The sequence below is a fragment of the Homo sapiens genome, chromosome 10 (genome assembly GCF_000001405.40).
Source record: "Homo sapiens chromosome 10, GRCh38.p14 Primary Assembly".
In the NCBI taxonomy this organism is placed as follows: domain Eukaryota; kingdom Metazoa; phylum Chordata; class Mammalia; order Primates; family Hominidae; genus Homo; species Homo sapiens.
This window is the reverse complement of record NC_000010.11, coordinates 126,322,335-126,349,516: the sequence shown is the minus strand read 5'-3', so window position 1 is coordinate 126,349,516 and position 27,182 is coordinate 126,322,335. Positions and strand designations below refer to the sequence as shown.

Here is a 27,182-nt window from a genome sequence, read left to right as displayed (position 1 = left end):
TCTTTAACATGTTTTAAAAGCAAATAATTTTGGTATTGTGGTCTGCTGCATACATCATTTGTTGTTGAGCCAGGATATTATTTGAGAACTGCAAAGCTCTCTAGGTATTACCTCCCTATATAAACCATGTGTTAGAAAGATATAAATTCAGTTTTGAAATATTTGTTAGACTGCTTTTGGCTTTCAGTCCGTGCCAAACATGTGCTTTGGTGACAGATGGAGTCATGTGGGCCCCTGAATGAAACACTGCATTGTGTATAGACTTTGTCTTCCAGCAGTTGGGTTGCAGAAGCTGGGAGATAAAGAGGATCCAATTGCTATGAGGTGTGTTCTCCAGTGAGCATAGGATCCTTTTCCCCCTCAAATATGTCACTAGGTTATTTGGTCTCAAATTCTGTGCCATAGAAAATAGTGCTGTACACTCTGAATTTATCTAGAATAATTAAATGTAAAGCATTCTCATGTTAACTTCAAATTTTGAAACTAGAACATGTTTCCTAAGAATCTATTGAAACGTATTGGCTTTGCGGGCCTGTAAACCATTCAAGGAAGCATGGACCTAGGATTGCCAGATAAAACAGGACTCCCAGTTGAATCTGAATTTCAGATAAACAACGAATTTTTTCTTAGCGTAATTATATCCTCAGTATTGCATGGGACATATTTATCCTAAAGAATTATTCATTGTCTATCTGAAATTAGATTCAACTGGAAGTTCTATATTTTGATTTGCTAAATTTGATCATTCTACTTGGATCCCAATTTATGGTTCGCTCTCATAAACAGTGACTGTCAAAGAACATTCCTCAGTGATGAAGGCTCTGTGAGTTTGCAAGTCCACGTGGCACAGAGACAGAGGAAATCTCAGTTCAGTCATCCTGCAGAATAAAAAGAGTGTTCTGTTAGAACAAAGTGGACGTAGATCACATCTACTGCACTTCTGATTGGGCTCGGTTGAATACTTTTTTCTCCTCATATGCATCCGTTCTCTCTCATCTCCCCCTCTTGCATTTGTTCCCACATTGTATAGGCAGAGCACGGAGGTGAGGGCATAACTCGGAAAGGCATGCTTGGGCCCATTCTCTTTCCATATAAGAAGCTTCCTTTCCCTCCCCCATCCTCCCACGTGAATGCCCAGATCCTGCCCATTCAAAGCCTGATATCATTGGCATCCCTGTTGTGAAGACATCCTGGACCGCCTCAACTGAATCAGGTTTCTAGCCCAACTCCGATTGCTCTTAAAGGCACTATCCCTTTCCGTCTTCTTTACCAGACTCTGTGCTCCCAGTAGGCAGGATGCAGTCTAACTTAAGAAAACACCCAGGGAGGAGCCTCCAGGCTACTGACATTCAGAAGAGGTTTCTTTTTCTCTCTTCTCTCTGTCCGTAACTTCTAATTGAGCACTAAATGTACAGGTGCTAAGACAAAGGCTTTCCACAAATCCTCTCCTTTCTCAATTGCCCCAGGGGTTAAGCACCCTGTACTCCAAAGGTCCCACCTTTGGTGAAAAGCAGAGCTCACTGGAAGGTGTTGTTCTAGACTCCCATGGAAACCTGAAATGCTGTTGACTCTCAGCCTGTACCATTGGTACCCCATTTCTGAGCAGCAGCAGAGAATTCGTCACTGGATGTCTGACTCCCAGCCTCCACTCTCAGGGCAGGATTCAGGGTGACCCAGAAGTTTGTTTTAGAAATAAACCTGTTTAATATTCTTAACACATAAAGTTTCAAATAAATAAGAGAAAAACAGGCTAATTAAAAATTGGCAATAAATGTGAGCAAACAACCCCCAAATTAAGAAATAAAAATAACTGATGAAAATATGAAAAGGCTCAATTTCAGTGATAAGTAAATGCACATTGAAACAACAAAGAAATTTGTTTTCTTTATAAGTGGCCAAACATCATTTGTAGGGCTTTCTCTTTATAATGATTGGCTATTGACAAGGCAGGCCAACATTCAAATTCAGGAAATACAGAGAACGCCACAAAGATACTCCTCAAGAAGAGCAAATCCAAGACCCATAATTGTCAGATTCACCAAAGTTGAAATGAAGGAAAGAATGTTAAGGGCAGCCAGAGAGAAAGGTCGGGTTACCCACAAAGGGAAGCCCATCAGACTAACAGCTGATCTCTCAGCAGAAACTCTACAAGCCAGAAGGGAGTGGGGGCCGATATTCAACATTCTTAAAGAGAAGAATTTTCAACCCAGAATTTCATATCCAGCCAAACTAAGCTTCATAAGTGAAGGAGAAATAAAATCCTTTACAGACACGCAAATGCTGAGGGATTTTGTCACCACCAGCCTGCCCTAAAAGAGCTCCTGAAGGAAGCACTAAACATGGAAAGGAACAACCGGTATCAGCCACTGCAAAAACATGCCAAATTGTAAAGACCATTGAGGCTAGCAAGAAACTGCATCAACTAACGAGCAAAATAAGCAGCTATCATCATAATGACAGGATCAAATTCACACATAACAATATTAACCTTAAGTGTAAATGGGCTAACTGCTCCAATTAAAAGACACAAACTGGCAAATTGGATGAAGAGTCAAGACCCATCAGTGTGTTGTATTCAGGAGACCCATCTCATGTGCAGAGACACACATAGGCTCAAAATAAAGGGTTGGAGGAAGATCTACCAAGCAAATGGAAAACAAAGAAAGGCAGGGGTTGCAAACCTAGTCTCTGATAAAACAGACTTTAAACCAAGAAAGATCAAAAGAGACAAAGAAGGCCATTACATAATGGTAAAGGGATCAATTCAACAAGAAGAGCTAACTATCCTAAATATATATGCACCCAATACAGGAGCACCCAGATTCATAAAGCAAGTCCTTAGAGACCTACAAAGAGAATTAGACTTCCACACAATAATAATGGGAGACTTTAACACCCCACTGTCAACGTTAGACAGATCAACGAGACAGAAAGTTAAAAAGGATATCCAGGGATTGAACTCAGCTCTGCACCAAGTGGACCTAACAGACATCTACAGAACTCTCCACCCCAAACCAACAGAATATACATTCTTCTTGGCACCACATCGCACTTATTCCAAAATTGACCACATAGTTGGAAGTAAAGCACTCCTCAGCAAATGTAAAAGAACAGAAGTTATAACAAACTATCTCTCAGACCACAGTGCAATCAAACTAGAACTCAGGATTAAGAAACTCACTAAAAACCGCTCAGCTACATGGAAACTGAACAACCTGCTCCTGAATGGCTACTGGGTAAATAAGGAAATGAAGGCAGAAATAAAGATGTTCTTTGAAACCAACGAGAACAAAGACACAACATACCAGAATCTCTGGGACACATTCAAAGCAGTGTGTAGAGGGAAATTTATAGCACTAAATGCCCACAAGAGAAAGCAGGAAAGATCTAAAATTGACACCTTAACATCACATTTAAAAGAACTAGAGAAGCAAGAGCAAACAAATTCAAAAGCTAGCAGAAGGGGCAAGAAATAACTAAGATCAGAGCAGAACTGAAGGAGACAGAGACACAAAAAAACCTTCAAAAAATCAATGAATCCAGGAGCTGGCTTTTTGAAAGGATCAACAAAATTGATAGACCTCTAGCAAGACTAATAAGAAAAGAGAAAAGAATCAAATAGACGCAATAAAAAGTGATAAAGGGGATATCACCACCAATCCTACAGAAATACAAACTACCATCAGAGAATACTATAAACACCTCTACACAAATAAACTAGAAAATCTAGAAGAAATGGATAAATTCCTCAACACAAACACCCTCCCAAGACTAAACCAGGAAGAAGTTGAAACCCTGAATAGACCAATAACAGGCTCTGAAATTGAGGCAATAATTAATAGTCTACCAACCAAAAAAAGTCCAGGACCAGACGGATTCGCAGCCGAATTCTACCAGAGGTACAAGGAGGAGCTGGTACCATTCCTTCTGAAACTATTCCAACCAATAGAAAAAGAGGGAATCCTCCCTAACTCATTTTATGAGGCCAGCATCATCCTGATACCAAAGCCGGGCAGAGACACAACAAAAAAGGAGAATTTTAGACCAATATCCCTGATAAAATCAATGCAAAAATCCTCAATAAAATACTGGCAAACCGAATCCAGCAGCACATCAAAAAGTTTATCTACCATGATCAAGTGGGCTTCATCCCTGGGATGCAAGGCTGGTTCAACATACGCAAATCAATAAATGTAATCCAGCATATAAACAGAACCAAAGACAAAAACCACATGGTTATCTCAATAGATGCAGAAAAGGCCTTTGACAAAATTCAACAGCCCTTCATGCTAAAAACTCTCAATAAATTAGGTATTGATGGGATGTATCTCAAAATAATAAGAGCTATTTATGACAAACCCATAGCCAATATCATACTGAATGGGCAAAAACTGGAAGCATTCCCTTTCAAAACTGGCACAAGACAGGGATGCCCTCTCTCACCACTCCTATTCAACATAGTGTTGGAAGTTCTGGCCAGGGCAATCAGGCAGGAGAAAGAAATAAAGGGTATTCAGTTAGGAAAAGAGGGAGTCAAATTGTCCCTGTTTGCAGATGATATGATTGTATATTTAGAAAACCCCATCGTCTCAGCCCCAAATCTCCTTAAGCTGATAAGCAACTTCAGCAAAGTCTCAGGATACAAAATCAATGTGCAAAAATCACAAGCATTCTTATACACCAATAACAGACAAACAGAGAGCCAAATCATGAGTGAACTCCCATTCACAATTGCTTCAAAGAGAATAAAATACCTAGGAATCCAACTCACAAGGGATGTGAAGAACCTCTTCAAGGAGAACAACAAACCACTGCTCAATGAAATAAAAGAGGACACAAACAAATGGAAGAAGATTCCATGCTCATGGATAGGAAGAATCAATATCGTAAAAATGGCCATATTGCCCAAGGTAATTTATAGATTCAATGCCACCCCCATCAAACTACCAATGACTTTCTTCACAGAGTTGGAAAAAACTACTTTAAAGTTCATATGGAACCAAAAAAGAGCCCACATTTCCAAGTCAATCCTAAGCCAAAAGAACAAAACTGGAGGCATCAGACTACCTGACTTCAAACTATACTACAAGGCTATAGTAACCAAAACAGCATGGTACTGGTACCAAAACAGAGATAAAGACCAATGGAACAGAACAGAGCCCTCAGAAATAATACCACACATCTACAACCATCCGATCTTTGACAAACCTGACAAAAAACAAGAAATGGGGAAAGGATTCCCTATTTAATAAATGGTGCTGGGAAAACTGGCTAGCCATATGTAGAAAGCTGAAACTGGATCCCTTCCTTACACCTTATACAAAAATTAATTCAAGATGGATTAAAGACTTAAATGTTAGACCTAAAACCATAAAAACCCTAGAAGAAAACCTAGGCAATACCATTCAGGACATAGGCATGGGCAAGGACTTCATGTCTAAAACGCCAAAAGCAATGGCAACAAAAGCCAAAATTGACAAATGAGATCTAATTAAACTAAAGAGCTTCTGCACAGCAAAAGAAACTACCATCAGAGTGAACAGGCAATCTACATAATGGGAGAAAATTTTTGCAATCTACTCATCTGACAAAGGGCTAATATGCAGAATCTACAAAGAATTCAAATTTACAAGAAAAAAACAACCCCATCAAAAAGTGGGTGAAGGATATGAACAGACACTTCTCAAAAGAAGACATTTATGCAGCTAACAGACACATGAAAAAATGCTCCTCATCACTGGCCATCAGAGAAATGCAAATCAAAACCACAATGAGATACCATTTCACACCAGTTAGAATGGTGATCATTAAAAAGTCGGGAAACAACAGGTGCTGGAGAGGATCTGGAGAAATAGGAATACTTTTACACTATTGGTGGGACTGTAAACTAGTTCAACCATTGTGAAAGATGGTGTGGCGATTCCTCAGGGATCTAGAACTAGAAATACCATTTGACCCAGCCATCCCATTACTGGGTATATACCCAAAGGATTATAAATCATGCTGCTATAAAGATACATGCATATGTATGTTTATTGCGGCACTATTCCCAATAGCAAAGACATGGAACCAACCCAAATGTCCAACAATGATAGACTGGACTAAGAAAATGTGGCACATATACACCATGGAATACTATGCAGCCATAAAAAATGATGAGTTGATATCCTTTGTAGGGACATGGATGAAATTGGAAATCATCATTCTCAGTAAACTATTGCAAGGACAAAAAACCAAACACCGCATGTTCTCACTCATAGGTGGGAATTGAACAATGAGAACACTTGGACACAGGAAAGAGAACATCACACACCAGGGCCTGTCGTGGGATGGGGGGAGGGGGGAGGGATAGCATTAGGAGGTATACCCAATGTAAATGACTGACGAGTTAATGGGTGCAGCACACCAACATGGCACATGTATACATATGTAACAAACCCTAGAACTTAAAGTATAATAATAAAAAAAGAAAAAAATATAATGATTGGCTATTGAGTTGTCAACTTGCCAGTGCCTGGTCGTTGCTGAATGAAGGGAAACCAGTCACATTTCAGGACCAGCAGAGAGGAGGAGGGAACCCTGCCCATGCCCCACCCCTCCACCCTCCCTCCAGCCCTCATCAGCGGATTCACCTTGTTGATTTATGGTGCTACACTGTGTGATCAGACGCCGAAAGGAGAAAAACTGCTCCCTTGGATGACATATTAAGTGCTCATCTTGCAGAGAAATGAAAATCCATTTAGAACAATTAATGCATCATTAGTGTGGATTTTAAACCAAGGCAGTGTTCTCAGCCTACAAATGTTCTTGCTCTGATAAAAGACCTGCCAGCCGATACTGGATTGGACCAGTTCTCTTGTCTGTGGGAATAGATCAGAATCAAGATGGGTATTGTTGAGAGGAAATTATTTAGAAGTTCCTAAAATGAACAGTTTTCTTTACTCTTTTGGCTTCTCTATGTAAGATGAAGCAAGGATTTAAACAGTTAAGCACAGTGTTTAGTTTCAAACACTAAGAACAAAAAAAATTCTCATTAGAATTATTTAAAATGTTCCTGGGTCAATCTATATGCCTAATAAATATCTGTCAAATTGAATAGAATGAAAAGTTCTTCAGGACGCTAATTCTAAGTTGTAATAGTTTTGTTTATCCTGTTTGACTATTTAAATTATGATTGCCCATTTGGGTCCTCCAAATTCAATGGCCAAAGTCAATGGCTAGAAAATCAAAGGTTGTAAAAATCATGTCAGCACCTACCTCTAGATAGCCACACTTTCTCCTTGGCCACTGGAACTTAGGCAGGTGTCCCCTAACTTTGTGATTCCAATCATTGCAGTGCTTGAAGTCCCACCTTATTCCCCATCTCACCCTATTCCCCACCTGCATCCTGCCCAAGCCACAGTCATCCCTGCAAGTGGGGAAAAAGGGAAATGAACATTCCTGCTGTCGGGCATGGGGCATAGGATGTGCCCCTTCTTGTTGTCTTTTGGAATTCAGATTCTATTTTCCCATGAAAACGCATGAGGTTTCAGATCTAGAAACTATTACCCACATTAGAAGTCAAAGTGCATTTTTCTCATAGAGAAAATGAAATGTTCTAAATGGTGATATGAAAGTCAACTCTATGAGTTAAAAGGCATTTAAGAGTTAACCTTCAAAAACTAACCGAGTCTATAAAAAATACATTTCAAATTCAAATCATCACCCTGTGCCCACTGCCTTCTGGTGTGTAGCCACGTACATGCTGGGGCTTAGCTTCCCCTCAGCTAATGAAGCAGGCATGGATCCTTAAACAGAGAAGGAAATATCAGGCTACTATGATGGCAATTGCTATTATGGTCCCTTAGTTCTCTGTTCTCCTCTTAATTTGGCTTCTCAAGGAAGCTTTCCTGCTGGGTAGATAATGAACAAAATGTTTTAGATGAGGACTCTGGTTGACTTGGCAGTTCTTTCTCATTAAAAATAAGCAAATTGGAATTCTGGCTTATAAATAAGGCTCATGTGGATTTGGTTGTGTGCATCCACCTGTGAGGGATCAGACATTGCAGGGTGAGCTAAAAGTCAATCACTCATCAGAGTGTCCATGAGAACGAAGCCTTGGACCCCATTCCTGTCTCATCATGATCACAATGAGGCCATGGAAATTTTTAATTTGTTTGATAATAATTCATTGCACAAATACTTGTCTGCACATGAAGATATAGCAGTAAATTTGATAGACGAGGCCCCTACCTCTTGTTATTCCTATTTTTGATTGAGGGGTGGTAGAGACAGACAAAGAGGTAAATAAATAAAACAAGATTTGATACTGATAGTGGCTGTAGGCGGGATAAAGGATGACGGGCCGGGAAGCAACTTGGGTTGGGAGGAAAAGTATTTAAATAGGGAAGACTCTCTGAGGGGTAACATTTGAGCAGAGACTTGAATAACAAGGTTTGGGGGCATGCGAAGGTTTGAGAGTAGGGTATTCTATGCAGAGGGCACAGCAAATGCAAAGGCTGTGGCCAGGTGCAATGGCTCACACCTGTAATCCCAGCACTTTGGGAGGCTGAGGCGGGTGGATCACGAGCTCAGGAGTTCAAGACCAGCCTGGCCAAGATGGTGAAACCCCGTCTCTACCAAAAATACAAAAAATTAGCCAGGCGTGGTGGGGGCACCTATAAACCCAGCTACTCGGGAGGCTGAGGCAGAGAATTGCTTGAACCCAGGAGGTGGAGGTTGCAGTGAGCTGAGATTGCACCACTGCACTCCAGCCTTGGCAACAGAGTGAGACTCCACCTCAAAAAAAAAAAAAAACAGGCCACGAGGTAGGACATAGCTGAGCACTATTAAGGGGTCAGGAGGCTGGTCAGTATGGTGGCAGTAGAGAGAGGAAGATGGTGCTATCAGGACATGAGGTTCCAGAACTTAGGAAAAAAGTCTGAATCATACTCCAAGTTTTCCTAATCAGCATGAGTGTTTATTTATCACACAGTAGGATTATGAGCACAGCATTCTGTAATTTGGCTGTATAGGTCAGCCCCCTGGCTTCATGATTTGTGTGATCCTGGGCAAGTTACTTAACTTCTGTGCCTCAGTTTCATCATCTATGAGATGGGGATAAATATCACAGGGTTGTTGTTGGGTTTAAACAAGGTAAGCTTATAAAAGATTAGAATGGGGCTTCCTTGCATAGCAATTGCTTAATTAGCATTCGTTGTAATCAATAACTATTTCTTGTTTATGTAATCTATGTTCAACACTCCATGTTTGCCTTATGAATAGTTCTCATTTATCCATTCTTCAGGCTTTATACAATCCATTCTTAGGCAGAGAATGTGTCCATTATGGGTCAGAGTTAGCCTGCTTAAAAGCCCTAGAACGGGGCTGGGCACTGTGGCTCATGCCTGTAATCCCAGCACTTTGGGAAGCCAAGGTGGGTGGATCACGAGGTCAAGAGATCAAGACCATGCTGGCCAATGTGGTGAAACCCCATCTCTACTAAAAATACAAAAATTCACTAGGTGTGGTGGTATGCACCTGTAGTCCCAGCTACTCCGGAGGCTGAAGCAGGAGAATCGCTTGAACCTGGAAGTCAGAGGTTGCAGTGAGCTGAGATCAGGCCACTGCACTCCAGCCTGGGTGAGAGAGCAAGACTCTGTCTCAAAAAAAAAAAAAAAAAAAAAAAAAGCCCTAGAATGGCTTCCCACTTCACTCAAATAAAATTTAATTTCCCTGCCTTGAAAGGCCCGCCACAGTCTGAGCCTTGTCTACCACCTGGACTTCTGCTCCTCCCTCTCTGCATCCCATCTCTCACTCCATCTTAGCCATACTGACTGCCTGGCTGTTCCTGGAACCCACAAAGCACTCTACTGCCTTGGGGTTTTCACATTCATGTTCTCTTGATGAGAAACCTGTCATAGATGTTTGCTCTTGTTAAAGGTCCCTCTCCTTTAAGATTGAAAGAGGGAGAACCTGCAGGTGATGAGGCTATCTAGAAGTATTCAGTTAAGTACTAGGAGCATCTTTTAGAAGACAAAAGAACAAAAGCAAAGCGCAAAACACCAACTGGAGTTTTGTAAGAAGAGGACTCTGCCAAAGAAGTCAGTCATCCAGACACGTGGCTTAAGAAAGGGCGATGAATGTGGATGGTATTGACAAGACGTGTATGATTGAAAACGTGTTGGTTTTTCGCTGGGAGATGAAGATTAAAAACCTTTGATTTTTAAACACGTTGAATTTGAGGTGGTGATGGTGACAAGACATTGAAATTAACATGTCCTGTAGATAAAATATAGACTGTGCTTGGGTGAAGTGGCCAGATGGGAAGAAAATATTGATTTGGGCAACATCAGCTTAAAAATTAATGAGTTCTCTGGGGAACAGTAAGGGTAGAAAGGGAAGATGGCCAAGAGCTGAGACTTGGGGAATGTTCAAGTGGAGGAGGCAAGACCTGGGCAGAGGAGGGGAAGAAATCCAGAATCACAGAGTGCTGCCCAAGTTGGTGTGTATTTTGGCAGAAGGTGGTCACAGATACCCAGTGAAGCAGCAGGGATGTGAGAGAATGCCTTTACATGGAGCTGGGGCTTTAGTGTAGATGCAGAATGACTTGTTTTTCACTGTTGTTTAATTCCATTTAATAAGTTTACAGGACTTAATGACATATACAAGGTTCCATTCTTGTTGTTTTGCTGTTAAGATCCAAAAATTATTCCTAGGTGTACATTTTAACAATTAGTTTCATTTTCCCCTTACATCATTTCTTGCAAGGTAAGCATTGAAGAATTCTGACCCTCTGCAAAAGCATTACAAAGTGAATGTATGTATTTGACATGCAAAGGGCTTGGGTTTTGCCATTAATTCCACCATTTATATTATTAGGCAACTTTGAGAAAAACCTATACAACTCTATAGTTTAGTCTCACAGTGTATAAAATGGGATTAGTATCTCACTCACCAGTAACGGTTATAAAAATGTAAGTTACAGGCCGGGCGCGGTGGCTCACGCCTGTAATCCCAGCACTTTGGGAGGCCGAGGCGGGCGGATCACGAGGTCAGGAGATCGAGACCATCCCGGCTAAAACGGTGAAACCCCGTCTCTACTAAAAATACAAAAAATTAGCCGGGCGTAGTGGCGGGCGCCTGTAGTCCCAGCTACTTGGGAGGCTGAGGCAGGAGAATGGCGGGAACCCGGGAGGCGGAGCTTGCAGTGAGCCGAGATCCCGCCACTGCACTCCAGCCTGGGCGACAGAGCGAGACTCCGTCTCAAAAAAAAAAAAAAAAAAAAAAAATGTAAGTTACTGTTGTAAGTGACTTTGCTCCCCACAGCTGGGAGGCACCATAGGCATGGACAGTTATGTTTATGTGTAGTAGAGACAGCTCGTGCTTGGGGTATGAATCTATTTAGACATTTATGAGAAGCTATAACTAGCTTTCTTTGAATTTCAAAATGACACATAAAACATCTTTTCCAAATTGTAATTGTTCCATAGCACTTGATTGCTTTTATTTCCAAATGGCTCTGTCCTCTAACACGCCCAAGGCTGTGTATCTGTGGTGCCAGAAGAATTGTTGTTTTGTCATCATAAGTCCAAAGGATCTTTTTAAGTTTATTTTTTCATCATAAAAGTAATAATGTGCCAGTTATAGAAAAGCCAGAAATACATACAAACATAAAGAAGAAAATCATAATGAATTCATAGCCCCAGCACTCAAAGAAAGCCAGCAAGAGCATTTTGGTGTATTTCTTTCCAATGACTGATAAGGAGTAAACAAAAAAAACAACCTAAACCAAATGAGATCCATGTGTGATGGTTAATATTAGGTGTCAGCTTGACTGGATGGAGGGTTGCCTACATGGCTGATAAAGTATTGTTTCTGGGTGTGTCTGGGAGGGTGTTGCCAGAGGAGATTGGCATTTGAGTTGGACTGGAAGAGGAAGACCCGCCCTTTCCCAGGCTGGATGGGCAGCATCCCATGTGCTGCCAGCACAGCTGGAACAAAGCAGGTGGAGGAAGGTGGGATGATCTGGCTTGCTGAGGCTTCTGATTTCCTTCTTTTTCTGTGCTGAATGCTTCCTCCCACTCCTCCTGCCCTTGGACATCAGACTCCAGGTTCTTTGACCTTTGGACTCTGGGACTTGCACCAGTGACTTCAAAGCAGGAAGAGGAAGGTGGGATAAGCTTGCTTGCTGAGTCTTCTGGCTCTCTTCCTTCTTCCCATTCCTCCTGCCCTGGGACATCAGACTTCAGGGACTGAAGACTTCAGACTGTGGGACTTACATCAGTGGCTTCCCAACCTTTGGCTGCAGACTGAAGGCTGCACTGTTGGCTTCCCTGGTTTTGAGGCTTTCGGGCTTTGACAGAGCCACTACCAGCCTCTGTCTTTCCCAGCTTGCAGACGGCCTGTCCTGGGACGTCGCCTTGTAATTGTGTGAGCCAGTTCTTCCTAATAAACTCCCTGTTTTATATACACATATTCTGTTGGTTCTGGAAAACCTGAGTAATACACCATGTACATGTTTGCATCTATGATCTCATTTGATCCTCTTGCCGGCCCTCTGTGGCGGATGTTGTTCCATAGCCCAGCTCCACTCACCAAGGATCTGAATAGCAAGGAATGCAAGCAACTTGCCCAGGGTCATTGAGAGCGTGTGGTGGATGCAGGATGCGTCTTCTGACTCAAAATATTATGCTGCTTCTCTTACACCTGCCTACATCTTCGTAATTCAGCCTGCCAGCGTGGTAGCTACAATCTTAGGCTCTGAGAGAAGCTATATTCTGTATTGACGTGGTTTTGTCAATGTGTTTGTGTGTGTGTCACTTGGTGTCACCTTCCCAAACCTAGTGGCAGTTTCTCCCTTTAACTTTTCTGCCATCCCAGACCCTTGTAGCCAATGATGCAAAAAATCTTAAGTTTTTATTTCAACTTGCCGTTTCTGTGTTTTCTAGAGTATGCTGGAGAGTACTCAGAAGGCCCTTTAAGCTGCTTGAGAATCAATTATTTTCACATCCTCTGCCTTTTTCTACTCTAGGAATCCTTGTCAGTGACAAGGTTTTAGCTTGCCTGCAGGTACTGCATCTTCCGTCTGAGTAAATAGCAATGTCAGAAGAGCAGTGAATGGCAAACATGCCATCTTTCTGGTATTTGGAGCCCCCAGTGATAACCAGTCATCCCTGAGCCTTTTGATATGTACTGAACTGCTCCAGAATGACATGATTATTCTTGTAAAATTCAGATTAAATTTTAAAAATTATTCTTAGTAGACTTCATTTTTAGAACGATTTTAGAGTGACAGAAAAATTGCAAAGCTAGAACAGATGGTTTCCAGACACCCCACATCCCATTTCCCCTATTCTTAACATCTTACCTTAGTATTGTACATTTGTTACAGTTAGTAAACCAATATTTGCATAGTATTTTAAATTAGGTTTATACTTTATTCATTGGTTCTTACTGAGTGCATTTTTTCTGTTGCTCAGTCCCATCCAGGATACATTACATTTAGTTGTCCTGTCTCCTTAGGTTCATCTTGTCTGTGACAGTACCTCAGACTGTCCTTGTTTTTTATGATGTTGACAGTTTTGACGATTACTGGTTGGTATATTTTAGAGCGTACCTCTTTGGGAATTTATCTCATGATTAGACGGGGGCTGTGGGTTTTGAAGTGGAAGATCACAGATGGAAGTGGGACTGTCATCACATCACGTCAAGGGTCGTACCATCCACAGGACTTATCTCTGTTGATGTTGACCTTGACCATCTGGCTAAAGCAGGGTTTGTCAGGTTTCTCTATTATAAAGTTACTTTTTTCAGCTTAACTTTTGCTATTGGTTCTTTTGTGGATCCTTCACTTACGTTATTTTAAAATTGCATTACTAATTTACATGTAGGGAGCGTGCAGCTAAAATGAAAGAACTACATCATTATTTGGTTAAGATTGAAAATGTGAATCTGAAAGGAAATCTTGCTATCATTTATAGGAGCATCACCACCATATTGCCCTGAGACAAGGAGCTGCTCAGTTCTGTAAGATTTCCTTTAGGTCTCGGATATTTAGGGGCTAAAAAAATTGCTTCATCAGTTTCCGAAGCCTTGTCCCTGGCTTCTTGGCAAATGGCTGCCCCAACTTTTTGCTTTCACTTAGATTTTTCAAAAGGATGTTTATCTTAATTCTACTTTTTGCACCTCAGATTGATTCTCCATTTTAAAGTTCATGTAGGTGTTGATAATGATTTCCCTTTCAAGCCAGAACTCCAGGTGTGATATTTAAGTTTCTCTTGACTAATGATCTCATCAGAGTTTATTTTCTCAATGGCCCACTGGGTGGCTTAGGAGGATGCCCACTGGCATCCACTTATACACTGGCATTTTCAAATGATCAATATGGAGTTGTGATTTTTGCACCAATAGTGTGGTTTGGTTAAACAGACACTGCCTCAAAGTCTAGAAACTTGGATTCTGATATCTAAGACGGATTTCATGCATTAAGCTTTTCGAAAGCGCTTTACTGTGTTGACTTATTTGAGCTCCCTTAACCTCATGAGAATCTTAGAGGAGAGAATGCAGTTTTCATTTTGTAGACGGTAGAGCCTCAGATGTCAGGCTTTGACAAAGGAAAATAAATCGAGGAGGAGTCAGGACCAGGGTCAGGTCTTATGGCTCCAAGATGTCCCCTCTTCACTGTGTATGTCTTAGAGCTGCTGCATCAGTCTCCACCTCTTGTGAAATGGAGCTTGCGCGGATGTAGGCATCAGGGTGGTGTGGACTTGGTTATAGCCTTTCCTGTTTCCCTTCATAAGTTACCAAAGGAAGGTTGGCTAGAGCAAGGATGGGGCAGGACTCATGCAGGCAGCCAGGCTCTGGGTGACATGAGGGGAGGATCTGGAGTCACTTTGAGAGGTTTCTTCTTTGCCTGCTTTCCCATAACCTTAAAAACTTTCATTGCAATCTTGACTAGCCTGAATCAGATCTGAAAATGACAAACTCAGACAAGGAGACAAGCAAAGCAGGCACACACTTCCCATGGGAAAGCACAACTGATGATCACAGCAGATAACTGTCAGAGATGAACGATCTAATATGTGTTTTTCCACTCTGAGGCTGAAGCAAACTGGCCATTTTATCAAAACTGCAAGCAGTGTATCAGGTTACGCAGTGGCAAAAAAGCTTCCTGCCCAGTATAATCTATCCACATTTCTTATTTAGGTAACTATGAGTTCTGTTGATGCCCAAATATATATTATGAAAAATAAAATATATGCAAACTGTGTATTTTATAGGGTCATATTTTTTCCCCGGGTTTCTCAGGCTTGAATGTATCCATCATTCAGGTCCCGTGTTTATAATTTATCAATAAGATCACTCCATAAAATATATTCTGATACCTCACAGCTGTGTATAATTTATTCTGTCTATCCGTGCAGTGAAATAAAATTTTTATTTGCATCATCTAAAAGAAATACCAGTGTATAAATACATAAGAAAAGCTCATAAGAAACGGTCTTCTGACTACAGATATTGCTGAGGGGCTGTTGTGCAGCCAATGAAAAAGCTGAGAGATGGCTTGATTATCCATGTACATAGATAATACATACCGTACTCAGCAAATTGTGCAGTCACTCAATTTCTCAAAAAGGTTGCACCACATTCTACAAGGGCTGCCACAGCCTGCTTCTAAATTCTCCTTCGAATATTTGGAAATAAAGCCTCTTCAAGGAAAACATATTTGCCAAAAAGGGCTCCTTTTGGATTGAGATACTGGAATATGTAGGTGAAACAGGAAATGTTTCAGTGGTTGGAATATTTTGCCTTCAGGAAACTAAATAACTGTGTCTTTCTCAGCCACTAAGAGCCTTGGAAGAAACAGTCCAGAGGATGGAGGATGTTCTTTACACTTGGTTTCTGTAGCCTCACCCTGATTATCTAACAGGAGGCCCCACCAACACCTCCTGAACTTCCCCAAAGTCAAGGTGTGGAGTTGCTGCCTCCCCTACACCCCTCCCTGCAGGAGCACCTGCAAACAGTTCGACTAGAAGACCCGGATTTCACGCATCATCTCCTTCCTCCTCACACATACAGCTTCTCAAGGGAAGTCTATTAAGTGCAAAGATTCTTCCTCCAGGCATCTGAGGCCTGGGTGAAAACCTTCCAGGCCTTTTGGTAGTGTGGCTGGAATACCCATGGAAACCATCCCATCCTCCCCATTACTGGGGTTGGGTTGGGAGTGACACAGGATTCTAGTTTTGGAACTCTTTCTCTGCCCAGTTTAACACATCCTTGGCAATAGGATTGATTTGTGGTTATTCAGTTTAACAATTCACTTGTGTTGGAAACTCAGCGCTGCCAGGAGTACCTTATAATTAAACTGGTTCGTTTATGTGGAGGATATTTTAAAATGCTCGCGATCGCTTTGACAGTTTTAGCTGACTTTCCAAAGACTACGCCAATGCCCGTGGTAACTCTCGGCGTGGTGTGGTTTTTCAGCAGGTGAAGGGAAAGTTCAGATGGATCTCCAGTTTTCACCCCATAACTGCTAGTATTTTAAAGCTGCCTTAATCCAATTCCAATAACATGACAGCTGTCTTATAAGTTCAGTTAATTGCACTCTGTAGTCGGCCTCTGCAGGAGCTGTATAGCTGGATCAGAACTCACTTTGTTTCTCTGCATTCCAACGTGTGAATCCCGTGGGGTCCTGAGCAAGAGACCCTGGTCTTGGCAAAGCTTCGAGAACAGTGCCGTTGAAACCGGCCGATGCGTCCCTCACACATCATGTGATTTCCCTCGGGCTCACCACGCTCTGCCTCATTTTACGGAAAAGGAAAGTCTTGCGCTCCCTCTACTGCTGTCGATCCTCGTGGCTATATGTGCAGCTGGAGGCTTCTCATCATCAGCTCTCAGCTTATAAGCTCACCATCCCCAACAAAAAAGGGGGGCTTTCCTGGCCTGTCCTTCAGAAATACCATCCCCAGCCATTCTGCTGTCACCCTGTTTTTCTTCTTAATTTTTTTTTACTTTGAAATAATGTTTGATTGACAAGAAGGTTGCAGTTTTAGCAGAGTTGCTGTGGTCCTGCTGTTTCACAGCACTTCTGGCTCTCTGAAATGGTCTTCTTTTCATCGTTTTTCTCTCCCAGTACAAGAATGCAAGTCCTGAGGGCAGTTTTCTCTACGTCCCTCTCTGAAATGCACAGGACGGAGAGAGAGGCAAGCCTTCTGGGATGAAGCTGTGTTCAAGAGATGAGGGTCTCAGCAGTATAGACGGAGGGAGCTGGCTCACTTTGGGGCTGCTGGCTTGAAGAAGAAAGAATGGGCTTTTTGAATAGAAGGCATCAGATCTAGAGTCACTGACAAGAGTGCCTGTCACCAGGTAGACAGTTGAATACTTGGTGAGTGGTGAGTAAACACGTGGGACACAACTGGCCCGTGGCCCCGCAGCTGATGTGTGGTAGAGCTGGTGCTGCTGCAGGGTGCGTCTTCCTCCAAAGCCTGGGCTATTCTGCCTTTGAGCACATGGAAGGCATGGGCTCAAGCGACAGGAGGAGGGAGACACACTTACTCAAGATCTCCATGCTGCCAGTGGTTGCACCCTTGCAGCCAGGAGAAGGACTTCTGATGCTTCCCATTCAGAGAGTCGACTCTTTTCACCTCCAAGCAGCCGTTCACGGGTGTCACAGATATCACCATCAGAGCCAGCACCTCCACTTGCTCTGCCAGAACCCTTCTCGCTTGAATGCAGGTTCATCCCTGAAGACTCAGCCCATCCACACCCTGAAGACCACACGTCCTGGGCCCATAGTCCCCTCCCTCCTTCCTTCCCCATGCGGTCGAGGGTTGCAGCTCAGCCCTCTCCCATTGGCTGTATTTCGGACTTTCAGTTCATTCCTGTTCCTTGTCCTCTTGGTCCTCAACACCTGAGAGTTTTAAACACTCTGTGACCAGCTTGAGAATTTCTCAGAGGCTGTTTCAGACAGTGACTACGGGAGTAGTAATCCTTTGGTAACCTGAATATAACTGCAGACTTCCACATTGAGCATGATAAAATGGTGTGGATTTAAAAGTATTTGGGGAACTGTAAAATGTCTAGGATTAAAATTTCAATACCATTTGTGCCCAATAAATGTGAACTCTTTAGTAACTTAAAACTGTGCTATTATGACTCAGGTCTGAAAATTATGAGTCCTGCTTGAAGAAATGGGAATAACATGTGAGGGAATCTGGTCCCATCCTTCACCTTGAGGGATATACTGTGGTCGAACCAAATAGCAGGAGCATGACCTCATAGGAGAGCAAGTCCAGAGAAATTAGCGTATTTGTTGAGAAAGTGATACACCCTCCAGAAGAGAAAAATGTTATACTTTCCGTGAGGATTGTTTATGGAAATGGGTCTAAATTGAACCTGTGTTGGTATATTAACTGGTTCAACAGACAGGACCCCAAGAAACAAGATCATATAATAGTTTATTGAATGACTTGATTTTTTTAAAACATAAACCAGTCTAGTCAGTCTGAACTGGAAAATTAATTTTGTCTATAGAATCACTTACTAAAGCATATAAAATTAGACTCCATAAGTGCAGAGAGGAGAATTGGCATTATGTTTAACAGATTCACTGGGACTTAAATAAATGGATTTAGTCTTAATACAGCTAAAGCCATGTGACTTTTAATACAGAGCAGATCCTAAATAAAGTATCAATTCATCATTTCAAAAAAGTCACTTTTGCATTTTTGTTGCTTGTTGAAGGACTGAATTATATATCTTGTCTATGATAATACCCCAGCACATGTTACAGGTCTTGAAGGAACAAATTAATTAACTTTTGTTTTCTTTAAGTTACAAAATTTTCATGGTTAGATTGACAGAGAATTCAGCAGTTTTAACACTTTTCATGACTTAATGGGTTCTAGTGTTTCCCTGGGCTTATTTAACTTCCAAATATTTTCACTGTGTCATTTATGTAATAAGCTTCTGATGCCAAACTCTTCCTGACTAGAGTGAAATATAGGGCTGTTTTCCTTTTGATTCAGGGGTGAGCTTATGGAACCAAGGAAGAGCTGATGAAGTTGTCAGTGCCTCTGTTGGGAGTGGGGACCTCTGGATCCCAGTGAAGAGCTTCGACTCCAAGGTGAGTTCCTCTCCTTTTCTCAGCTTTGAGACTGCCGAAGCTTTTAAATCACATTAGCTGCTTTGGTATTCTCTCATTCAAGGGTTGTCTCTACTCACTTTAATGCTAACTCTATCCTTAGAGAATGGAAGCTTTATTCTTAAGCCAAAAATATGCAAACCAATTTTGATGTGACAGTGCTGATGAGGGATCCAACATTATTTGCATCTACTGAAAATTAGTTTTTGAACAAAAACCAGGGGTTACAGTCCCAGATATACAACTTCCATGTTCAGTTTAACTGAATGAATGATGGGCATTTTTCTATATTTATGTCTATTTAATTAACATTGATTTCCTCGAATTGATTATTGCTAGAAATATATTTATGCAACTTAAAAACCCATTTGTCATGAGTTTTAATGCAATCTAAACTTTATTTACTTTGACATGTTTGATTTGAGCCTTTTATGATGTAAAAGAATAATATAAAATAATTGAAATAATAGTGATTAAATTTAATATCTTGGTGCGTTTTATCTGCTAAACTGACATGACTTTCTTAAATTTCAGTGCTTGTAGGAACAGTTGGAAAGTGATAAAAATCTATGGAAATATGAGCTCTTTGAAGAGATCATACAGATGGCTTGGTCCTTGCATTATATAGAACTATTTTTAGATCATTTTTCATAATAGCAGATTTTTTGAAGAGCAGTTGAGATTGTGAACATCCTCTGTCACTTCCTGGAATGGTTGCAGTGGGCCACCTTTATATGAGTAATGATAAGGTGATTTCCATCTAGGGAGCTTACCTTGGAAACTGAGCTTTTAGAAAGGTTGGTGGTTTGATTAAAAGGCCCAAATGCCAAATGTGCACATTTTTTCTAACTTTGTTGTTTCACAGACATTGTTGCAAATTGAATATACAAGGTACAAGTCAAGTATAGTGGTGTTGATATTTTCTGGAAGAAAAACTTAAGATATTAAAGAAAATTCCATCATGCTATTGGTCAGCAAAATTAAAAACAACATAATAGATACAGTAAAAGAGGAGTGGGCTTTCGTTATAAAGAAGTTGATTTAAAATATTGATATACATGAATAATAGAAAAATATGGAATAATCTAAAGTTTCTTGGATGTTGGGAGCCATTATGTAGACTTTCCCTGGGGTTAGAGTTGCCAGATTTAGCAAGTTAGAAGTACAGAATGCCTGGTTAAATTTGGATTTCAAATAAACAATGTATTTAATTTTAGTGTAAATATGTCTCGTGCAATATTTGGGACATACTTTTTTTTTTTTTAAGTATTTGTTGCTTATCTGAAATGCACATTTAACTGAATGTGTCCTGTCTTGTTTCTGACAACCTTCCCTGGAGGGAATCGGAGGGACAAGCTGCTGAGGGCTATGGGCCTGCCGCTGGGGTGGACCAGCTCAGGCCTTCTCTGGTTTGTGACCCCCAGCTTCCTCCTTCCTACCCTCCAGCCACCTGGCAGACATCACAAGGCATGTTGGAGGAGGGACTGGCACATCTACTGCTGGCCAAGCTTACCACCTGGTGCTTGTGGGTCACAAGCATCATCTTTTAGAAGACTAGGAAGAACCATGATTATTAGGTAGCTGTCCCAACTCTTCTGGGTTTCTGTCTCCAGAATGAGAGCCCTGTGGGTGACAGGCATACACCTACTGCACTAAAGAATTCCAGGTTAGTGACGTTATGTAGGGGCATGATGACTTAGGTAAGTTGGGAACAGCATTTTGTTGTAATGCCAGTGGGCTCATCTCAACATATAGTTTATGGCATCAGTGTATGGCCATAAAATTACAATATGTACTCATATTTGGTGGGTAACCCCGAAAGCTTGTGTGAGGAGTGGTGCATGTCAATGTCTGTTACGTGTGTGTACCTGTTTGCAGGAATTCCCCATGGGGAAGACGTGTATACATGCTGTGGGAATAGGCATTCTGGCCAAAGGTGTGTATGTGTGTATCTGTCCTCATTACCAGTAAGTCAAGATTTTCATTTTGAACTGAATCATGCAGTATATCTTCAGTATACAAAACATACTCACGTGAAGAATATTTTTGCAGAACAACGGTGCCTGCTGTGCCTCAGAATATAGACTTTTAGATTTGCTTCTCACTCCTTGCCTCTTTCTGTTCAGCCAGTTTTTAACTAAGCACCTATTATGTGCCAGGTGCTAGGCATACAGCCAATGCAGAAGGCAGACACGCTTTCTGCCACCTGCAACTTACGTTGCAGTAAGGGAAACATAATTAAATAAATTCACATTGTGATAAGTGTTAAGAAAAAAACAACAAAGTATTCTAGGGGCCAGCAGGGAAGATGGATTTTGATAGTTTGGCCAGGAAAGCCCTTTCTAAGAAGGAAAGATAGTTTTTTCAATAAGTTCTAAAGAGCCAGCCATGAGAAGAGCCAGAGTGTAAGAGGCTGGAGGAGCAGGGAGGAGGCAGGTGTGTCTAGAGCATGGAAAATAAGACAGACTTGGAGTGATGCGGGAGCAACAGGGGCCAAGATTTCCCACAGGGCTCCTCCCATGTGTGAACTCACTGTGGAAGTAGTAGCCTGTAGGAAACAGACATTCACCCTGAGATAGCGACATAAACTGTGACCTTCTTTCTCTGGTAAATATTCTGATTTTATATGACTTACCAAATCATAACATTAATTTTTTGTGACTCTTTTTCCCCAGAGGTGACATGCAGTGTTCACAACCATGAAACACATTCCTTATTTATACAGAAATGCCTAGCTTTTTGATTTCTTCGTATTATTATTTATTTATTTATTTTGGTAGAGATGAGGGGGTGGGGAGGGGGTAGGAGACAGGCCTCCTTTGTCACCTAAGCTGGTCTCAAACTCCTGGGCTCAAGCAATCCTCCTGTCTCGATCTCCCCAAGTGCTGGGATTATAGGCTGAACCACTGTGCCCTGCCAGAAATCCCTAACTCTTAAACATTTTATCTGATGGCCATGGCAAGTCCAGTAAGCCAGATCTGGAAGTTTGGCCAGCAATTTCTGGCTGGGAATGCCATGGGAACCTAAAGAAAGGGGGCCTCAAATTCCAAGTCACATCCTTTCTGGCTTTCTTCCGGACAGATTTCCACAACTGTTTTCCTAAAATGAAGATCTAACTCATCATGATTTTCCTTGAAAACCTCAGAGGCATTCCTCACATCCGCATCCTAGAGTGTGAAGACAAACTCTAGGCTTGGCATGAAAGGCACGTCGCTCTGTGACCCAGAGGCACTAACCACAGCCCCACGCCATGGCTCCGGGGCTCTGACTGTCCCTCCATTCTCTCCTCATGTGCATTCTTCTTCATCCTATGGTGCCATAGCATGGGGCCACCCCTGTGACCTCAGGCAGCCTGGTCACCTGCCCCGCTGTGCTTTGTCTCAAAGCACTTTGGGCTAAAAAGTGGTAACAAGTTCCTGGGGGTTCAGTGACTCATTCCCAAATCTGGATTATGTGCCTGCCATGCACCTGGTGCTGGAGCTGCATCTCTGCCCTGAGGGTGGTCAGGAAAGGCCTCTCTGTGGAGGTGACATCTGAAGGTGACCTAAATGACATGAAGGGTGAGCCTGCCATGTGGAGTTCTGGGGAAGAGCATCCAGGCCGAGGAAACAGCGACAGAGGGAGCCAAAGAGGGAGCGTGTAGAGAGGTGAGCAGGGCCCTGACAAGGTAGAACAGCCATGAGAAGGTTCCTGGGGGCTTGGAGCAGGACGTGCAAGTGAGTTTTAACAGTGACCTCTGACAGCTGTGCCCAGACTGCAGTGTAGGGCCCTGAATGGAAATGAGGAGAGCCATGGGGAATCCAGTGCAACTGTCCAGGAAGGAGAGGGAGGCGTCCACACTCTGACCACGGACAGCACCAGAAGCGATTGGACTGGAGACGTACTTTGAAGGGAAAGTTTGTTGGACTTGCCCGTGGATTCAAGGTGTTAAGGACAACCCCTGTGTTTTGGCCCTGGCTACATAGGTGGCAGGAGCTTCCATCATATACACCCCCAAAGAGAAAGGACCCCCTGTCTAATTTGGTGTTCACCACGTCATTGACTTACTATGTATACTGGTTCTCACCCTAGCTGCATTTTAGAATCACCCAGAAACTTTTACAAATAACAGTGTTCAACCTCCAGTTGTTGAGAGTTAATTTAAATGGTTTGAGGCAGGTCCATGCAGATTTCTTAAAAAAAAAAAAAATACTCCCCGGTGATTTTAGTGAGCACCCAAGGCTTAGATCCACTTGGGGAAATTGATGCTGCATCCAATGCCAGATTGCTGGTCAAGTCGATTCGGCTGATTTAGGTAAAATTACTGTCAAGTTCTCTGTCTCTTTCTTTCTGAATGGGATGTTAGAATGTCCTTTCCAAATCAAGAATCAAGCCATCACTGCCACTGATAATTTAGTGGAAAGAGTAGAGGGACAGGAAAGGAGGTGACCTTGTGTGTGTTGGAGAGCTTGCACTTTTTTGTTCATTGGTTGTTGTCTATAATGCAGGGATAAACTTATCTGCATTCCCTCCCTCTAAGGGTCATTGTGAGAATGAGATGAAACGATGGCTGTAAAATACGCTAGAAACTTAACACTACTACAGAAATGTAAGGTGACACTGAAAGTTTACAGTGTCTTTAGGAACCAAATTCCAATTTCATGTCTTGAAAAAATTAACCGCGGAACCAGCGAAGACATGTCAAAATGTGATTGATCGTGAGATGACCTCACTTGAGCTCGGCCTTTGAATACTTCAGGAAATGTCCAATTTCCAGCTTCCTTGAGTGAGAATGAAGTTACAGAAAGAGTATAAGAAATGGAAAATGGAAGGCAAACCCATTAGAACATGAAACCAAAGCTTCCCTTAGCATATGGCAGGTCTCAAATATCAAATAGCAGCTAATTAAAATGACAGAGGCACATTCTACTCCATACATTTCCATTTGCCTTTTTTTACAGCTGAGAAAACGGAGCCCTGCTCTCCCCTCCAATAACCATCCCCATTCTTTCCTTCACAGCCAGACTTCCCAGAAAGGTGATCCGCATTCACTGGCTTGCCTCCCCCCAGTTCCCTCCCAACCCTTGGTAGCAGCTCCCATTCCCAACATGTCATTGGAATGGCCTTTGCCAAGGTCAGAGATGGCTTCCTAATTTCCAAAGCCAGCACACACCTTTCACTCTTTATCTTACTTATCTTGATACCCATTCCCTCTCCTCCTCTGAACTCCTCTCTTCTTTGGGCTCCTGAGACCCCGTTCTCATGTTTCTTCTCATATGTTTTTGTTTTTGCTTTTCATTAGCTTTCCTGGCTCTGTCCCTCATTCTTGGTGTCCTCTGAGTTTCTTTGTGGCCCCACTTCTGATGAAGGGTCCCGCTGGTGATGTCCCTCTCAACTGTGACCTCATGGTCTACTTGCACCTAGGGGCTCACATAAGTGAAAATAGCAGTGAGAGCTACCACACGTGGAGTTCCCACTGTGTGAACCGCTGTATCAGGTGTTACGAACAATAACTTCGGCTTTTGTCATCTAGCATGCATTGACTTAAAATCCACACCTCTCATTCTGCTTTGACCCCTGAGATTTGATCATCTACTTCCAATCAATTACAGGTACCTCCAGCTGAAAGTTCCCAATTATGCAAATGTATTGTCCCCCAACGTAGACTCTGCCTCCCACTTAATTTAATTGTCCCTAGAAGATAAGGTTGTCATCTTCCTTCTCCCCTGAAATAGTAAGGTTTGAAACACTTCTTAACTCTACTGGCCCAGTATCCTGACATGTGCTTCTTCTTTCTGCTGTCTACCACTGCCTTCATTAGTCTTCCTCCATTCTACAAAAGGAGGTAGGGTACTCTGTCTAAAGCACAGATAGAACCTGTTCCCTTCCTGCTTTCCAGTCCTTCGGAAGTCCCGGATGACACCTGAATTCAAAGCCAGGCTTCTTAGCATGATGCCCATGGGACTGGGTAGCCTGGGCCATCTGGACTCTAGAGCCCCCACCCCTACATCTTAGCCATGAAGCTTGTCAGGGCAGCCAGTTGCCTAAATAGGCCACGTTCTTTACACCATGCTTGCACTATGTTCTGTCCCCATGTCCCCTGACTCCCTCAGTCCTACTCATTCTTGAAGCACCACTTAAGCACTCATTCTTAAATGGCACCTTCTCTTGTGAAACCCATCCTGAACCCCTGGCCTCCTGGCCAAATTCTTCCTTCCCATACCTTTGTCTTTATAAGTTGTCCACATCTCTGTGATGTGCAATCATATCATGCACACATTTAATTCATGCAAATTCAGCCTTGCACATGGCAGAAACAGATGCTGCAGAGACGCAACTTAAGTGACATAGGTGATCACATCCCCTTGGGTCCCCAAGGAGCATGTGGGCATCTGCTGTTTTCTTAGTTCCTTCTGCCTCTCATGAGGCAAGCTTCTTACTTCCTAAGAGCAGTTCTAGTTCTTTCTGTTGGATATCATGAAATAGCGCAACCCCTAAAATAAGCCAACTCGACTATGCTCAACCCAATAAGCAATGCCCCAGTGCTCTGTGGAGAAGAAATGCTGAACCTGTATAAAAGCATGAAAGCTGTGAGGCTTTCAAAGATTAATTTGGACTGTGCCTCAGGTGCCACCTCTACCTTCTATACTGGCCTTAGACCCCAACCATGCATGACTTTGGGATTCAGCTCTCTGGCGCGATCACAGAGTACCATCATTATTAGTTTTTATCCCTGCTTCTCCCAACCAGCCTGTGCCCTCCCTCAGGGCAGCAGCCACAGCTCTGTGCCCTTCCACCTTGGTGCAGTGCTTGGCACAGAGTGGAGTGATTGCAGGATGCTTGTTGACTGACTCTGAGACTTTATCCGTGCCTGGATCCTGAGCCTTGCAAACCACTCTGACTACCACAACTTTTTAGATGTTTCCTACCTCCTTTTGGCAACTCTGGGTCCTTTAAAATCATTTGGAGGCTGCGTCTAGCTGATAGAATGCTACCTTCTTCACTTTAGTGCTATGTGGTATCTTACCTGGGACACCGCCCCAAGTGTAGCTCTGTGCCAAGAGCAGTGCTGTTACTCTACATGGGTGGGTTGACATAGCCAGACCTATATTTTTTATCTAAGGGATTATTCGAGTAATTGCAGGAGTTGCTCAGGCTAGATGGTAGCACCTCCAGCTTGGCTGAACAGGCTCAATAGTTAGCCTTTCAGACTTAGGAAGCATCTATTTTACATTAGCTTCCAAGCCAGCCAATGGTGTTTCCTCTTAAGAATGTAATGACTAAAATACCTACTGTGGAATAGATATCATCATATGACATGCACAGTGGCTCATGGTTGGAACACTGTTCCCAGACTCTCTGGGTTCCTGGGTATGGTCTGTCCCACTCAGTTTCTTACCTTCTGTGGGAACCCCAACCCCACCCTTGGCCTGACAATCCTCATGAAGCTGTGTCTGCCACACAGGAGGCTGCTGGAGGCCCCAACTCCTGCACCAGACCTCATATAACCCATCATTATGGAGAGAGGATTTGGAGAGGTAAAAGCTGGCACCCTTGTATCTTGTCTGGGAGCTCAGCTGTTTAAAGAATCATTTCCATGCATGGTGGGAGGAGAAGAACCGTGGATGTTGGAACCTGCAGAAATGGATTCGGACTCCCTCTGCCTTGCTGTGTGGCGTTGGGCTTGTCATTCGCCCTTGCTCAGGCTTTGTTTCCTTAGCTGTAAAGGAGATGGTGATGGTGGCCTTGTGACCTGATGCCATGCCCTACACATGCTGGATCCTCAGCAAATGCCAGCCTCTCTCCTGTCCCTCACCGGGTCCTCCTATCACTGCCCCAGGGCTGGATAAGCCTTTGCTGTGTGTGGGGGGAGGGCACTGGCCTGGGAGTTCCTGGATGTGTAGCAGCATCCCTGATACACCTGACTGATGCCAGCGCCACCCTCTTCTAGTCACAGATGTCTCCAGGCATTGCCACGTGGCCCCTGGGGTGTAAAATTGCCCCGGGTTGAGAACCACTGCACGGTGAGAAAAGATGTGGAAGGACAGGAAACTGGCAGTTACTGGGATCCCCGTCTTGG

At 42.7% G+C, this 27,182-nt stretch overlaps 1 protein-coding gene across 5 annotated transcripts in view; it reads left to right on the top strand.

Annotated features, from left to right (window-relative positions):
• The window catches only part of ADAM12 (ADAM metallopeptidase domain 12), a 376,087-nt gene that overhangs the window by 38,961 nt on the left and 309,944 nt on the right, over positions 1-27,182 (top strand). For all 5 annotated transcript variants that reach the window (NM_001288973.2, NM_003474.6, NM_001288975.2 and 2 more), the window contains exon 2: positions 19,008-19,105. In NM_001288973.2, the coding sequence (NP_001275902.1) occupies positions 19,008-19,105 (98 nt within the window). The remainder of the gene's footprint in view (positions 1-19,007; positions 19,106-27,182) is intronic.